This window comes from Homo sapiens, chromosome X, assembly GCF_000001405.40.
Source record: "Homo sapiens chromosome X, GRCh38.p14 Primary Assembly".
Classification (NCBI taxonomy): domain Eukaryota; kingdom Metazoa; phylum Chordata; class Mammalia; order Primates; family Hominidae; genus Homo; species Homo sapiens.
In genome coordinates, this window is record NC_000023.11 from 101,530,630 (window position 1) to 101,547,572 (window position 16,943).

Below are 16,943 nucleotides of genomic sequence, written 5' to 3' on the forward strand. Positions count from 1 at the left end.
AGTGGAACATCTTTAAAGTGTTGAAAGAAAAGAATTGCCAACCCATAAATCTATGTCCAGCAAAAATATCCTTCAAAAATGAAGACAACATGAAAATATTCTCAGATGAAGGATAGCAAACATAATTTGTTGCCAGTAGACATGCTGTACCAGAAATGTTAAAGGAAGCTCTTCAGACTAAAGGAAAATGATACCAGAGGGAAACTTGAACCTCAGGAATGGAGAAGCAATAGAAATGATAAATATCTGAGTAAATAGAAAATACTTTTTTCCTCTTTTGTTCTTTAAAAATAGCTGTTACACTAGTTTCCTACTGCTATAACAAATTGTATAAAATGTTACCACACACTCAATTGCTTAAAACAAGACAAATTTATTATCATACAGTTCTAGAGGTCAGAAGACTAAAATGGGTTGAAAGGGCTGTGTTACCACTGGATGCTCTAGTGGAGAATCTATTTCCTTGCATTGTCCAGCTTCTACAGGCGGCCTGAATTCCACTGTTTCACTGCCTGATTCTATTGTCACATCTTTTTCTGACTCATCTGCTTCCTTCCTTCCTTTACAAGGACGCTGTGATTACACTGGGCCCACCCAGATAGAACTGGATAATCTTCCTATCTCAATATTCTTAACATAATCACATCTGCAAAGTCCCTTTTGCTATATGAGGTAACATATTCACAGGTTCCAATATGTAGACATCTTTGAGGAGCCATTATTCTTCCCACAACAACAATTGTCAAGGATTCAATAATTCTTATACAATTTAAAGTGTTCTAGAGCTTAGGAAAATGTAGAAATTTACCTAATTCTTTCTCTAAGGCTAACATAATGCTTATGTCCAAACAAAGAAGAATAGAAGTAAAAAAGTAAACATGAGAGGTCAGTCTAACTTAGAACTATAGATGTAAATATCCAAAATAGAATAGTAGTAAATTCAAGCTAGTACTGTGGCAAAATAATAGAATAGTGCAAATAGTCATATTTTTATGTCTATGTTATCTTTGCTAGATTTTAGCATCGATATTATGGAAGCTATGCCTGGACTCAACAACACGAACTTCTACTCACCAAGGCTGATCTTGTACTAATACTAAGTGCCCAACCTGACAACAGAGAAGATGATGAGCCTTTATAAGACACCATTCCTTAGGGGCATCAGCCAGTCCCATGGTGTTAGGATTATTACATGGGACACCTTTCATCATCATGAAAACAGAAACTTTTCCTCATGGAAATGAATATGTATTTTAGACACACATTTACCTTCTTTGCTGACAATGATTCTGTCATCACCATCTCCATGGACTTCCAGAATGCCTTAATCATCATCAGAGTATCCTACACAAAGTTGTCTCTGACCAAGGAACTCATTTAATGGTAAGTGAAGTGCACATCCAAAGATTCACTAGTCTTTACTACTTACTTTACCATGCAGAAGCAGCTTGCCTTACACAAAAATAAATAACTTACTGGAAGCTTAGTTATGGGATCAGCTGTTCCTGGGAGTACTGTACGACAAGATTGCAATAGATGCTTTAACAGAGCCACCCATATATGGTGCTTTTTTTCCCCATAGTGAGGTTACACAGGACTAGGAATAAAGAAGTCATGAAAGCAGTGGCCCTTTTCACTATTGCACCAGTTAACCTACTGAAGAAGTATGTGATTCTTTTTTTCTGTCTCCACAACCTTGGGCTCTTAGGTATATCAGGGATGAATGCTTTCACCAGGGAATAAAGCCATGGTTCCATTATATTAAAAGCTGAGACTACATTCTGGCCATTTTTGTCCTCTCGTGCCACTGAACTGACAGGCAGGGAAAGGGGCTGCTATAGTGGCTAGAGGGATTGAGCCCAATTACTAAGGGGAAATAAGGTTGCTGATATACAAACAGGGAGAGCAATGCTCAGAGCCCAGGGATACTCACTGGGGCACCTCCTAGTACTGCTTTGCCTAATAGTCCTGGGAAGTGGGAAAGTGCAGAAATTCAATAAATACAGGATTGAAGATTAGGGTCACTACATCAGGGAAATAATTTTGACCAGGTTTCTGTAAGGGGAATATGAAATGGGTGGTAGAAGAATGAAGTTGATTATTGACTTTGGCCTCATGATCAGCTTCAGTGGGAAACTGTAACAGCTATGCACATCTTTGTTAATTTATTTTTCTCTTCCTTTCCTCTGATTATATGAAAAATACTTGAGATAATTGTTATAAATCAGGTTTCAGGTGGGCGAATATGATTGAATTAGCATTATCCCGTGACAGTACGGTGGCTGATGGGATTTTTTTTGTCCCTGCCTCCCTGTTGGGAGAATAGAATAACAAGAATAGATGCTGAATGTGAAAGGAGTGGGCCATGGTGGTTAGTCTTTATTTTCCCACACATCCTGATTCATTTCCTGTCCTTCTCTGTCTTGTTCTATGCCCTGGGCGGCTGATCCTTAGGGACTGCATCCCCCAGACTCCATTTGTAATTGACTTCTGCTTGGGTTTGGTCAATGGAATGCCCTGGCACAGCTTTGGAGGGAAGAAGAGAGAAGACAATGTATTTCTTCACTGCTCCCACTCTGATTTGGGCTATGTTTTATTGGCAGGGACTGCATCCCTTCAAGATTTTAGCTTCTTCCAGAAGTCCCCTCCTCCATGACTCTAGCTCTCACTAGGCTCCAGAAATACTATTTCTTCCTCTTGCCCTCTTAGGCCTAGGGTAACAGCTACCTGCTATTGCTAACCTCTGGGTGCCACAAAATTGCTTGTTGGGTCTCATAATCTTGCATATACCTCTGTAAGTAGTCCCTACATTAAAGTCCCTTGAACCATCTGATTTAGATTTTTTTACTGGCTAGGACTCTGACTGAGGTGCTGGTGTGAGGCCTAGAATTACTGCAGCTATTTTGATACCATTAGAATGCACAGTCAAGGATAAAGCTTTCATGTAAGGAAGGGTATAGCAGAGAAAATTATAGAAAAATGAAGCAGAATCTTAATCAAATTGTACTTAAAGTCAGATAACTTCTGGATGCAACTCACTGAAGTAAGAATAGGTGGATATTTCTTAAATATGACAAAAATATATACATTTCTAACAAGAAGCCTTTCATGTTTAAGGGATAAACACTAGAAGCATTTCCATTAAAATTAGGAAAAAGACAAGAATGCCAGTTATTTCCACAATTATTTAACATTGTTCTAGAAGTACTAGTTAATGCAGTCAACCAAGAGAAAGAAATGTAATATTGATATTGGAAAGGAAGGGGCAGGCAAGATTATCATTACCACAAATGAAGCAAATCTAAGAGAATCAACTAAAGACTACTTGAAACCTTTGGAACTCCATAAAAAGGCTGGTTATGAAATCAATAGAATAAAAACTGATCACTTTCATATATAAAAACAACAAACAAAATGTAAAATAAGAAAAAAAATCTAAATTACAATAGCCATGGGAAAAGATAAGCTCCTTTTGAATAAACTTAACAAAAAAATCTGTAAGACATATCCATTCATTCAGTAAATATGGATTGATAACCTACAGTGTGCCAGGCAATGTTCTAGGAGTTATTTTTATTTAAAAAATTTAGAAACTGCTGAGAAAAATAAAGACAAATAAGTAGAAAAACTGGGTTGTTGGATAGAAAGATATTCCTGTAAAGATGCCAATTATCACTCAGTTAACTTATAAATTATGTGCAACACAAATTGAAATTAAAAACGGTAGTTTTTAGGGGACTATAACAAAATAACAGATTTTAGTCTCTAAATAAATACATGTGAACAGGCAGGTAATGATAAAAAAGATGAGTTATGAGAGACCTTACCCTTCAGATATTGAAACATATTATGAAGATACTATAGTTAAAACAGTTTGTTATTTAAGAAGAAAGAAAAGATAACAGATTAAAAGAATATAATAAAGAATAAAGAAATAGATACAAACATATGTGGATGTTTAGATTATGATAATTATGGTAAAGATGGCACTTTATTTTTTATTTTTTGGGTATTATACATTTAATTTAAAGACTTCGAAGTAAAAAAAAAAGGTACAGAAATACAGATTACATTGTGATGACCCCAGTAGTATTCTACATGACAAAAATAAAAACAGATTTAAGTAAATGTATCGGCACTGAACAAGCATTTACTTAACATCCAATCCAGGCTGCATATGCACAAAATGATCTGACCACATGCTTATGCAAAGTAGTTTTTCTTAGAACGCCAAAATTCCAACCATTCTGACTGTCCGCTGCGCATTCCCCTGTTGAGTATTTTGAGCGAACTTCTATAGAATATAAAAACAATTGGCATGGCACTTAAAGACTGCAAAAAACAGAACACAATTAAAAACATTTATAATGCATTTCTGTATAAAATATACACCATAAAGACCACCCTGAATAATGGTTAAAACCTCATCATAGAAAAATGCTCATCATTTTGCACATTATTGATAGAAACTACTGAGAGGTTTTCTTGGGGGGCTGGTGGGAAGGTAGACACCCAACTTAAAGATTCATTCAAAATTTGCTTTAAATTGTGGGTAATAACTCACTGCTTACCCCTCTCAAAATGTTTTATCATGAATACTCTAATATTTAACCACAGGACAAACATAAAGAATAACCTGAAGAAGGTGTTTCTCAAAGTGAAGTTGAAGGCTCCAAAAGAAGTCTAAGGTGGGCCCACTAGTGTGCATTTTAAACAAACTTCCTAGGTGATTATTTCACATTCCAAAATCTGAGAACTAATGCCCTGTGGGAAACAGCACCACTTAAAAGCAAGGCCATAACATATTTCTGACATGAGATACAGAATTCTAAGTTTATGATTTGAAGTGAATACTGCTTTTTGTTTTAAAACAAGTTTCAGATGTTAAGAGAAACATATTAAATAAACATGTGCATGTATATAAACATTTTCCTTTGAGGTTTTCATTGCTTTCAGACTTATGTTATTTGAAGGAAAGAGAGTACACAGCTAGAAACTTTGGAAAAATGACATTTCCAATGAAATGTAGCATCCACCCCTCCAAAAAAAGATAATTTATTAAATGCCTACAAATTTTGAAACATTTGAAATTTAAACTAGGACACTTTCCTAAAATTAAGTTTTACTAAGATTAAAAAACTTTAAGTAATTTAGATGATCATGGTTACTTTTTAAGTCCCTTTTCATTAAAAAATATTTAAAATAAACAACAGAAGGATGCTATATTTGGCACCCCCTTAAATAAACTGCTAAACACTAATATTAATAAAAAATAATCCAAGGAACTCTGCCTCTGAAATGTATTCTACTATGTGTTACATGTGTTATCCAGTTAATAAAAACTCACTGAAAGAGCTGATACTGTGACGTGTGTGAGTGTATGTGTGTGTCCTGAACATTTATTCATGCCTACTTGATTTTTCTGATTTCACTAAAGACTCTATAAACAGGGTCCAATCATATAGATAATGTGGTTTAGGGGGAGAAATGAGCATAATTAAGATACCCTACTTAAAAATAAATAATTTTCCTGTATACTAAATTGTAAGGAAAAAATATTATACATTCTGCCTCCACTGAATACATGGAATGCTTTTACAAGTTTGATAACAATAATGAGTGCCTCATTTGAATCAAGTCACAAAAGCAACTGTGGGGATTCACTCTCCAATAGGAAATAAAAATATTACCACTGTACTTTGCTGTATCTATTTTAAATTTCTGTTTTTTTCCTTTCTATATACTGAGTAATCTTCCATTCAACTGCATCCTTGGTCTTTTGCAGTATATATATTAACATTGCAGTTAAAGTTTCCAATAAATGGATAGGCTCAGGAGCTACCCCGTTAATATACTTAAAAAGAAAAATCACTTGTGCCAGTTTTGCAAAAATAGTTAATGATTTGCAATCTGATTCATAATAAAAAGTGTCTGTTTTTTAACTCAAGAAGAATTTCCCAATTTGGTTTTTGTTTTGTTGTTTTGTTTGAGACCGTGTCTCACTCACTGTTGCCCAGGCTGGAGTAATCTTGGCTCTCTGGAAACTCCATCTCCTGGGTTCAAGTGATTCTCCTGCTTCAGCCTCCCGAGTAGCTGGGATTACAGGTATGCGCCACCATGCCCAGCTAATTTTTGTATTTTTAGTAGAGACAGGATTTCACCATGTTGGTCAGGCCGATCTCGAACTCCTGACCTCAAGTGATCTGCCCGCCTCAGCCTCCCAAAGTACTGGAATTACAGGCGTTGAGTCACTGCACCCAGCTGCATTTCCCAATTTTAAGCAAGCAGCATCTTCTATTACCAATTTAGTAACTGCTGCCTTAAAAAATCGATAATTTATTTATCCAAGGCAATAAAATTTACACCCGAATTTTTAAACATAAAGAACTCCAAAACTAATAGGTAATATAAAAAGTTGTTGCATTTTATATTAATCTTTTATTTCAAAATTAAACCCTGAAGTGATTTAACACAGAATGACAAAAATTATGGGAGGTTTATGATGTAATCCCACTATGTGCCTTAATGCAACTGATACTTTTTAAATGCAGTGGTTTTCTTTGTTTTTTTTTTAAACAAAAAAGATAACTTCATTACTCATCTGTAGGCCTTTTAAAAACTGAAAAACCAGTTCAACTAAATTTTGACATGATTGTCTGGAAGCTAGTATTAATTTATTTTTCATAGTAAAAAAGATGTAATAATTGATTCATGTAGTCTACGAGAGAAGATACTGGGTGTTTTTTTGTAGGTGGCAAATATAAAATGGTTAATTGTATCCAGGCTGGCAGCAAGTTTATCCATGCATTAAATGGCAACATGAGTAGAATACATGGTTGAAAAATGAGGATCGGACACATTCTTCTGCAGACATCAAAAGAGGATTGATATACTCAAAACCTTCAAATTCAGACTGATCAATCTTTCTCACAATGTCATCGACATCTGGAGTGAGCTAGACAGGTTCATTAGTAAACTGAGAATCAAAGTTGTCCAAACCAAATTCCCCAGAAATATTTGGTTTAAAGGGAGATACCACCTGTTTTTGCTCCATCATATCCCAATCAACATTTTGGAAGAACGGGTGTCCCTGAATATCAGCAAATCCTGTTTGAGGATGACAACCCAGTCGTTTCTTAGGGTCCTTGTTAAGAAAACTCTTCAGAACACTTGCAGCTTTTCCAGACAGAGAACGTGGTATGTGAATTTGTTTTTCCACAATAACTTGGAAGAGAGAATCCTCTGTGTTCTGGTCAGGGTTATCGGAGCTCCCAACAGTATCAAATGGAGTCCTTCCTGCCATCGTCTCAAACATTAGCACTCCAAGAGCCCACCAGTCAACACTGAAACCATAATCTCCTCCTCTTAAAATTTCAGGAGCAATGTAATTAGGAGTACCACAGAAAGTGCTGGTTGTATCTCCTGGCCGTAATCCTTCCTTAACACATGCCGTAGTCAGTGAGTTTAATGTGGCCTTCAGAGTCCAGTAATACATTGTCCAGTTTCAAATCTCTATAAATTATCCCTCACTCATGAAGATAATTGAATGCTAGACTGATTTCTGCAGAGTAAAATCTGGCATGTTCTTCAGGAAGTTTTCTTTGTCGCTGCATATGAAACATTAGGTCTCCTCCATTTACATACTCTATAACAAAGAACAATCTGCTTTCTGTCTGAAAGCAAGACTGCAGCCCAACAAGGAAAGGATGATTGGATGCCTGCTCAAACACATGTTTCTCTGTCTGCACCCAATCAATATCCTCATCATCATTAACAAGCTCTTTTTTCACAACTTTCATTGCATAAATACGATCTGTTTTTTTTTTTTTTTTAATGGAACCAACAGTACTTTGGCTTAACTTCCTCTTCCTATTACCTGGAGCAAATCAAAATCCTGAAGACCTAGACTGGATGAAGCTTTGCCACTTTCTCTGGTGTTCATTGCCTCTTTTTCTTCACCAACTTGATCCAAACTCTCATGACTTGAAGGATTATATGGAATTACTGTCTGTGCATGGTCAGAATGCATGGATGACTGATCCATGGGCATCATTGGTTCCAGTGGCAAAGAATGCCGCCCACATTCAATTGTGAGGAGTTTATGGCACTTCTTATGAACCAAGAGTTTGCAGTTGATACACTTATATCCTTGGCATCCAAGTCCCCATATTCAGTCTGTGCAGATGGCACAGTCAGCACGCCTGTTGAAGCACTTGGCTTGAAAAGTGTGTCCATTGGCACAATAAAGCTTTCTCCAGTGGCGTGCACCTCTACGGTAGATGGATTTATCTTCTCTTGGACAAGGCATCCCGGGACGTTCTGGTACACAAGGGAACACATGAATCAAGAGTTCAGAGTCCTTGTTTAGCTCATAAAGTGTAAAGGCTTCTTCTAACTCCAACTGAGATGATACTGTACACGGGTCTCCTTCCTCGTCTATCCATTTCATGGTGAAGAGCTGTTCGTTGTCAAAAGAACATGTCTCGAACCACATTGTAAAGGCCCTCAAAGGAGACAGAAGGTTCAAAATGTGTTATCATGATATCCCCGCGGTAGTAGGCTTTCACCCAGACCTGGTGGGAATGGTCCCCACTGCAGCCGCCTGCAACCCTGTGGGACATGGTGCTGCTGTCCCTCTGGGTCGGCATCTCCTCACTCCCCCGCCTCAACGCTGGAGGCCGGGGGTGCGGGGAGGGGGCTTCGGACGCCGTGGGAGACCCCGCCGCCCGCGCCTGTCGGAGAACCGCGGCCATCCGCCCACCTACCTGCCCACCTCACCCGCAACGCCGACCCAAGGGTCGCCTCGCCCAAGCAGCCCAAAGATGGCACGTTAAATCAGTGAGCTAAAGAGGGGATTATTTGATAATTAGCATTAGGACAATTTGCTAGCCATTTGGAAGAAAATAATTCCGTATGGACCAAAAATTTAAATATAAAAGGAAACATAAAAATTAGAAGAAAATACAGATCTCCCTAAGCAGGACACAAACCTCAAAAATGTAAAGAAAAAAGGTGGTAAATTTTACACATCTACAACCATCTGATCCTTGACAAACCTGAGAAAAACAAGCAATGGGGAAAGGATCCCCTATTTAATAAATGGTGCTGGGAAAACTGGCTAGCCATATGTAGAAAGCTGAAACTGGATCCCTTCCTTACACCTTATACAAAAATCAATTCAAGATGGATTAAAGACTTACATGTTAGATCTAAAACCATGAAAACCCTAGAAGAAAACCTAGGCAATACCATTCAGGACATAGGCATGGGCAAGGACTTCATGTCTAAAACGCCAAAAGCAATGGTAACAGAAGCCAAAATTGACAAATGGGATCTCATTAAACTAAAGGGCTTCCGCACAGCAAAAGAAACTACCATCAGAGTGAAGAGGCAACCTACAGAATGGGAGAAAATTTTTGCAATCTACTTATCTGACAAAGGGCTAATATCCAGAATCAACAAAGAACTTAAACAAATTTACAAGAAAAAACCAAACAACCCCATCAAAAAGTGGGCAAAGGATATGAACAGACACTTCTCAAAAGAAGACATTTATGCAGCCAAAAGACACATGAAAAAATGCTCATCATCACTGGCCATCAGAGAAATGCAAATCAAAAGCACAATGAGATACCATCTCACACCAGTTAGAATGGCGATCATTAAAAAGTCAGGAAACAACAGGTGCTAGAGAGGATGTGGAGAAATAGGAACACTTTTACACTGTTGGTGGGACTATAAACTAGTTCAACCATTGTGGAAGACAGTGTGGCGATTCCTCAAGGATCTAGAACTAGAAATACCATTTGCCCCAGCCATCCCATTACTGGGTATATACCCAAAGGACTATAAATCATGCTGCTATAAAGACACATGCACATGTATTTTTACTGCGGCACTATTCACAATAGCAAAGACTTGGAACCAACCCAAATGTCCATCAATGATAGACTGGATTAAGAAAATGTGGCACATATACACCATGGAATACTATGCAGCCATAAAAAATGATGAGTTCATGTCCTCTGTGGGGACATGGATGAAGCTGGAAACCATCATTCTGAGCAAATTATCACAAGGACAGAAAACCAAACACCGCATATTCTTACTCATAGGTGGGAATTGAACAATGAGAACACTTGGACACTGGAAGGGGAACATCACACACAGGGGCCTGTCGTCGGGTGGGGGGAGGGGGAGGGGTAGCATTAGGAGATATACCTAATGTAGGAGGGAGGAGCCAAGATGGCCGAATAGGAACAGCTCGGGTCTACAGCTCCCAGCGTGAGCGATGCAGAAGACGGGTGATTTCTGCATTTCCATCTGAGCTTTGAAGAGAGCAGTGGTTCTCCCAGTACGCAGCTGGAGATCTGAGAACGGGCAGACTGCCTCCTCAAGTGGGTCCCTGACCCCTGACCCCTGAGCAGCCTAACTGGGAGGCACCCCCCAGCAGGGGCACACTGACACCTCACACGGCAGGGTACTCCAACAGACCTGCAGCTGAGGCTCCTGTCTGTTAGAAGGAAAACTAACAAACAGAAAGGACATCCACACCAAAAACCCATCTGTACATCACCATCATCAAAGACCAAAAGTAGATAAAACCACAAAGATGGGGAAGAAACAGAACAGAAAAACTGGAAACTCTAAAAAGCAGAGCGCCTCTCCTTCTCCAAAGGAACGCAGTTCCTCACCAGCAACAGAACAAAGCTGGATGGAGAATGACTTTGACGAGCTGAGAGAAGAAGGCTTCGGACGATCAAATTACTCTGAGCTACGGGAGGACATTCAAACCAAAGGCAAAGAAGTTGAAAACTTTGAAAAAAATTTAGAAGAATGTATAACTAGAATAACCAATACAGAGAAGTGCTTAAAGGAGCTGATGGAGCTGAAAACCAAGGTTCGAGAACTACGTGAAGAATGCAGAAGCCTCAGGAGCCGATGCAATCAACTGGAAGAAAGGGTATCAGCAATGGAAGATGAAATGAATGAAATGAAGTGAGAAGGGAAGTTTAGAGAAAAAAGAATAAAAAGAAACGAGCAAAGCCTCCAAGAAATATGGGACTATGTGAAAAGACCAAATCTACGTCTGATTGGTGTACCTGAAAGTGATGGGGAGAATGGAATCAAGTTGGAAAACACTCTGCAGGATATTATCCAGGAGAACTTCCCCAATCTAGCAAGGCAGGCCAACATTCAGATTCAGGAAATACAGAGAACGCCACAAAGATACTCCTCGAGAAGAGCAACTCCAAGACACATAATTGTCAGATTCACCAAAGTTGAAATGAAGGAAAAAATGTTAAGGGCAGCCAGAGAGAAAGGTCGGGTTACCCTCAAAGGGAAGCCCATCAGACTAACAGCGAATCTCTCGGCAGAAACCCTACAAGCCAGAAGAGAGTAGGGGCCAATATTCGACATTCTTAAAGAAAAGAATTTTCAACCCAGAATTTCATATCCAGCCAAACTAAGCTTCATAAGTTAAGGAGAAATAAAATACTTTACAGACAAGCAAATGCTGAGAGATTTTGTCACCACCAGGCCTGCCCTAAAAGAGCTCCTGAAGGAAGCGCTAAACATGGAAAGGAACATCCGGTACCAGCCGCTGCAAAATCATGCCAAAATGTAAAGACCATTGAGACTAGGAAGAAACTGCATCAACTAACGAGCAAAATCACCAGCTAACATCATAATGACAGGATCAAATTCACACATAACAATATTAACTTTAAATGTAAATGGACTAAATGCTCCAATTAAAAGACACAGACTGGCAAATTGGATAAAGAGTCAAGACCCATCAGTGCGCTGTATTCAGGAAACCCATCTCACATGCAGAGACACACATAGGCTCAAAATAAAAGGATGGAGGAAGATCTACCAAGCAAATGGGAAACAAAAAAAGGCAGGGGTTGCAATCCTAGTCTCTGATAAAACAGACTTTAAACCAACAAAGATCAAAAGAGACAAAGAAGGCCATTACTTAATGGTAAAGGGATCAATTCAACAAGAAGAGCTAACTATCCTAAATATATATGCACCCAATTCAGGAGCACCCAGATTCATAAAGCAAGTCCTAAGTGACCTACAAAGAGACTTAGACTCCCACACATTAATAATGGGAGACTTTAACACCCTACTGTCAACATTAGACAGATCAACGAGACAGAAAGTCAACAAGGATACCCAGGAATTGAACTCAGCTCTGCACAAAGTGGACCTAATAGACAACTACAGAACTCTCCACCCCAAATCAACAGAATATACATTCTTTTCAGCACCACACCACACCTATTCAAAAATTGACCACATACTTGGAAGTAAAGCACTCCTCAGCAAATGTAAAAGAACAGAAATTATAACAAACTATCTCTCAGACCACAGTGCAATCAAACTAGAACTCAGGATTAAGAATCTCACTCAAAACCGCTCAACTACATGGAAACTGAACAACCTGCTCCTGGATGACTACTGGGTACATAACGAAATGAAGGCAGAAATAAAGATGTTCTTTGAAACCAGTGAGAACAAAGGCACAACATACCAGAATCTCTGGGACACATACAAAGCAGTGTGTAGAGGGAAATTTATAGCACTAAATGCCCACAAGAGAAAGCAGGAAAGATCCAAAATTGACACTTTAACATCACAATTAAAAGAACTAGAAAAGCAAGAGCAAACACATTCAAAAGCTAGCAGAAGGCAAGAAATAACTAAAATCAGAGCAGAACTGAAGGAAATAGAGACACAAAAAACCCTTCAAAAAATTAATGAATCCAGGAGCTGGTTTTTTGAAAGGATCAACAAAATAGATAGACCGCTAGCAAGACTAATAAAGAAAAACAGAGAGAAGAATCAAATAGATGCAATAAAAAATGATAAAGGGGATATCACCACCGATCCCACAGAAATACAAACTACCATCAGAGAATACTACAAACACCTCTACGCAAATAAACTAGAAAATCTAGAAGAAATGGATAAATTCCTCGACACATACACTCTCCCAAGACTAAACCAGGAAGAAGTGGAATCTCTGAATAGACCAATAACAGGATCTGAATTTGTGGCAATAATCAATAGCTTACCAACCAAAAAGAGTCCAGGACCAGATGGATTCACAGCCGAATTCTGCCAGAGGTACAAGGAGGAACTGGTACCATTCCTTCTGAAACTATTTCAATCAATAGAAAAAGAGGGAATCCTCCCTAACTCATTTTATGAGGCCAGCATCATTCTGATACCAAAGCCAGGCAGAGACACAACCAAAAAAGAGAATTTTAGACCAATATCCTTGATGAACATTGATGCAAAAATCCTCAGTAAAATACTGGCAAAACGAATCCAGCAGCACATCAAAAAGCTTATCCACCATGATCAAGTGGGCTTCATCCCTGGGATGCAAGGCTGGTTCAATATACACAAATCAATAAATGTAATCCAGCATATAAACAGAGCCAAAGACAAAAACCACATGATTATCTCAATAGATGCAGAAAAGGCCTTTGACAAAATTCAACAACCCTTCATGCTAAAAACTCTCAATAAATTAGGTATTGATGGGACATATTTCAAAATAATAGGAGCTATCTATGACGAACCCACAGCCAATATCATACTGAATGGGCAAAAACTGGAAGCATTCCCTTTGAAAACTGGCACAAGACAGGGATGCCCTCTCTCACCACTCCTACTCAACATAGTGTTGGAAGTTCTGGCCAGGGCAATTAGGCAGGAGAAGGAAATAAAAGGTATTCAATTAGGAAAAGAGGAAGTCAAATTGTCCCTGTTTGCAGACGACATGATTGTATATCTAGAAAACCCCATTGTCTCAGCCCAAAATCTCCTTAAGCTAATAAGCAACTTCAGCAAAGTCTCAGGATACAAAATCAATGTACAAAAATCACAAGCATTCTTATACACCAACAACAGACAAACAGAGAGCCAAATCATGAGTGAACTCCCATTCACAATTGCTTCAAAGAGAATAAAATACCTGGGAATCCAACTTACAAGGGATGTGAAGGACCTCTTCAAGGAGAACTACAAACCACTGCTCAAGGAAATAAAAGAAGATACAAACAAATGGAAGAACATTCCATGCTCATGGGTAGGAAGAATCAATATTGTGAAAATGGCCATACTGCCCAAGGTAATTTACAGATTCAATGCCATCCCCATCAAGCTACCAATGCCTTTCTTCATAGAATTGGAAAAAACTACTTTAAAGTTCACATGGAACCAAAAAAGCGCCTGCATTGCCAAGTCAATCCTAAGCCAAAAGAACAAAGCTGGAGGCATCACACTACCTGACTTCAAACTATACTACAAGGCTACAGTAACGAAAACAGCATGGTACTGGTACCAAAACAGAGATATAGATCAATGGAACAGAACAGAGCCCTCAGAAATAATGCCGCATATCTACAACTATCTGATCTTTGACAAAGCTGAGAAAAACAAGCAATGGGGAAAGGATTCCCTATTTAATAAATGGTGCTGGGAAAACTGGCTAGCCATATGTAGAAAGCTGAAACTGGATCCCTTCCTTACACCTTATACAAAAATCAATTCAAAATGGGTTAAAGACTTAAACGTTAGACCTAAAACCATAAAAACCCTAGAAGAAAACCTAGGCATTACCATTCAGGACATAGGCATGGGCAAGGACTTCATGTCTAAAACACCAAAAGCAATGGCAACAAAAGCCAAAATTGACAAATGGGATCTAATTAAACTAAAGAGCTTCTGCACAGCAAAGGAAACTACCATCAGAGTGAACAGGCAACCTATAGAATGGGAGAAAATTTTCGCAACGTACTCATCTGACAAAGGGCTAATATCCAGAATCTACAATGAACTCAAATAAATTTACAAGAAAAAAACAAACAACCCCACCAAAAAGTGGGTGAAGGACATGAACAGACACTTCTCAAAAGAAGACATTTATGCAGCCAAAAAACACATGAAAAAATGCTCACCATCACTGGCCATCAGAGAAATGCAAATCAAAACCACAATGAGATACCATCTCACACCAGTTAGAATGGTGATCATTAAAAAGTCAGGAAACAACAGGTGCTGGAGAGGATGTGGAGAAATAGGAACACTTTTACACTGTTGGTGGGACTGTAAACTAGTTCAACCATTGTGGAAGTCAGTGTTGCGATTCCTCAGGGATCTAGAACTAGAAATACCATTTGCCCCAGCCATCCCATTACTGGGTATATACCCAAAGGACTATAAATCATGCTGCTATAAAGACACATGCACACGTATGTTTATTGCAGCATTATTCACAATAGCAAAGACTTGGAACCAATCCAAATGTCCAACAATTATAGACTGGATTAAGAAAATGTGGCACATATATACCATGGAATACTATGCAGCCATAAAAAATGATGAGTTCATGTCCTTTGTGGGGACATGGATGAAATTGGAAATCATCATTCTCAGTAAACTATCGCAAGAACAAAAAACCAAACACCGCATATTCTCACTCATAGGTGGGAATTGAACAATGAGAACACATGGACACAGGAAGGGGAACATCACACTCTGGGGACTGTTGTGGGGTGGGGGGAGGGGGGAGGGATAGTATTGGGAGATATACCTAATGCTAGTTGACGAGTTAGTGGGTGCAGCGCACCAGCATGGCACATGTATACATATGTAACTAACCTGCACAATGTGCACATGTACCTTAAAACTTAAAGTATAATAATAATAAAAAAAGGAGATATACCTAATGTAAATGACGAGTTAATAGGTGCAGCACACCAACATGGCGCATGTATACATATGTAACAAACCTGCACGTTGTGCACATGTACCCTAGAACTTAAAGTATAATAAAAAAAAGAAAAAAAGTTGGTAAATTTTGTACTGTAAATATAAAAAATTCTATATAGAAGTCCAAAAAATTATAAATCGGGAAAATATTTATAACACTTATTGAAGTCAAAAGACTCATTTGCTTAATTTGCAGAAAGTTCTTATGTATTAGTAAGAAACAGATGAACAACTTAGTAAAAAAATGAGGAAAGACAGTACACAGAAAGATAAATACAGATGCTTAACAAACCTCTAAGAAGATGTTTAATCTCACTTATAATTAAATAAATTAATTATTTGGAGCACAACATAGAATGCATATATATATATCTATCTATCGATCGACCTATATATATATATAAATTTAAGAGGTGAAAGTTGGCAGCATGGGTAAAATTTAAAATGAACACCCATTTTGACACAATTATTTTACTTTTAGGAATTTATCTTGAGGAAATAATATCATAGTTGCCAAAATATATATAGACAGAAGTCTTCACTGTGGCATCTTTGTAATAGATAAAGATTAGGAAGAGGCTAAGTATCCATCAGTAAAAGATTGGTTAAATTCTGGTAAATCCACGCTTCAGAATATTAGTGTGTCTGCTAAAAAGATTCACATGATATATCAGGTGAAAAAAATAGTTATGCAGAATAATATGCATAGTATAATCCCAAATTATTTTAGAAAGATATATGTGTACACACACACATAATGTATCTACATATATTTTTTAGTAATATATGTGAAACAACAACAAAACCTGGAAAGAGTCACCTGAAAAATTAACAGTGGTTTTCATAGGATTTATCCTAGGATTGAAGTAGATTGGTTATCACAGTAGTTATCAGAGGGGTGGGGAAGTTGAGATTTTTTATTTTCTGTTCCCCTCTTTTCCTAGTTACCACCTGCTTTTCTTCATCTCAGCTGAAAACTTCACTCTCTCTGCCCCAGCAAGGAAACTTTCCCTGATCCTCAGACTATGCCCCTTTTTTAAAAACGATATTAACAGAGGTTTTTTCCTTTACAGTATTTTTCTCTCTCTCTGTGTGTGTGTGTGTGTGTGTGTGTGTGTGTGTGTGTGTGTGTGTATGCGCTCATTTTA

General features: G+C 38.1%; 1 protein-coding gene and 1 pseudogene across 4 annotated transcripts in view; one reads left to right on the forward strand and one right to left on the reverse strand.

The window, feature by feature from the left end:
* ARMCX4 (armadillo repeat containing X-linked 4) overlaps positions 1 to 5,359 on the forward strand; it is a 117,711-nt gene extending 112,352 nt beyond the window's left edge. For 3 of the 4 annotated variants that reach the window (NR_045864.2, NR_045862.2, NR_045861.2), the window contains exons 12-13: positions 1,015 to 1,383; positions 2,455 to 5,359. The gene's annotated coding sequence lies outside the window, so the exon portion shown is untranslated. Of the gene's footprint in view, positions 1 to 1,014 lie in introns of all 4 variants that reach the window. The other variant, NR_028407.3, reaches the window with a different exon arrangement.
* Positions 4,007 to 8,817, reverse strand: PRKCIP1 (PRKCI pseudogene 1; annotated as a pseudogene).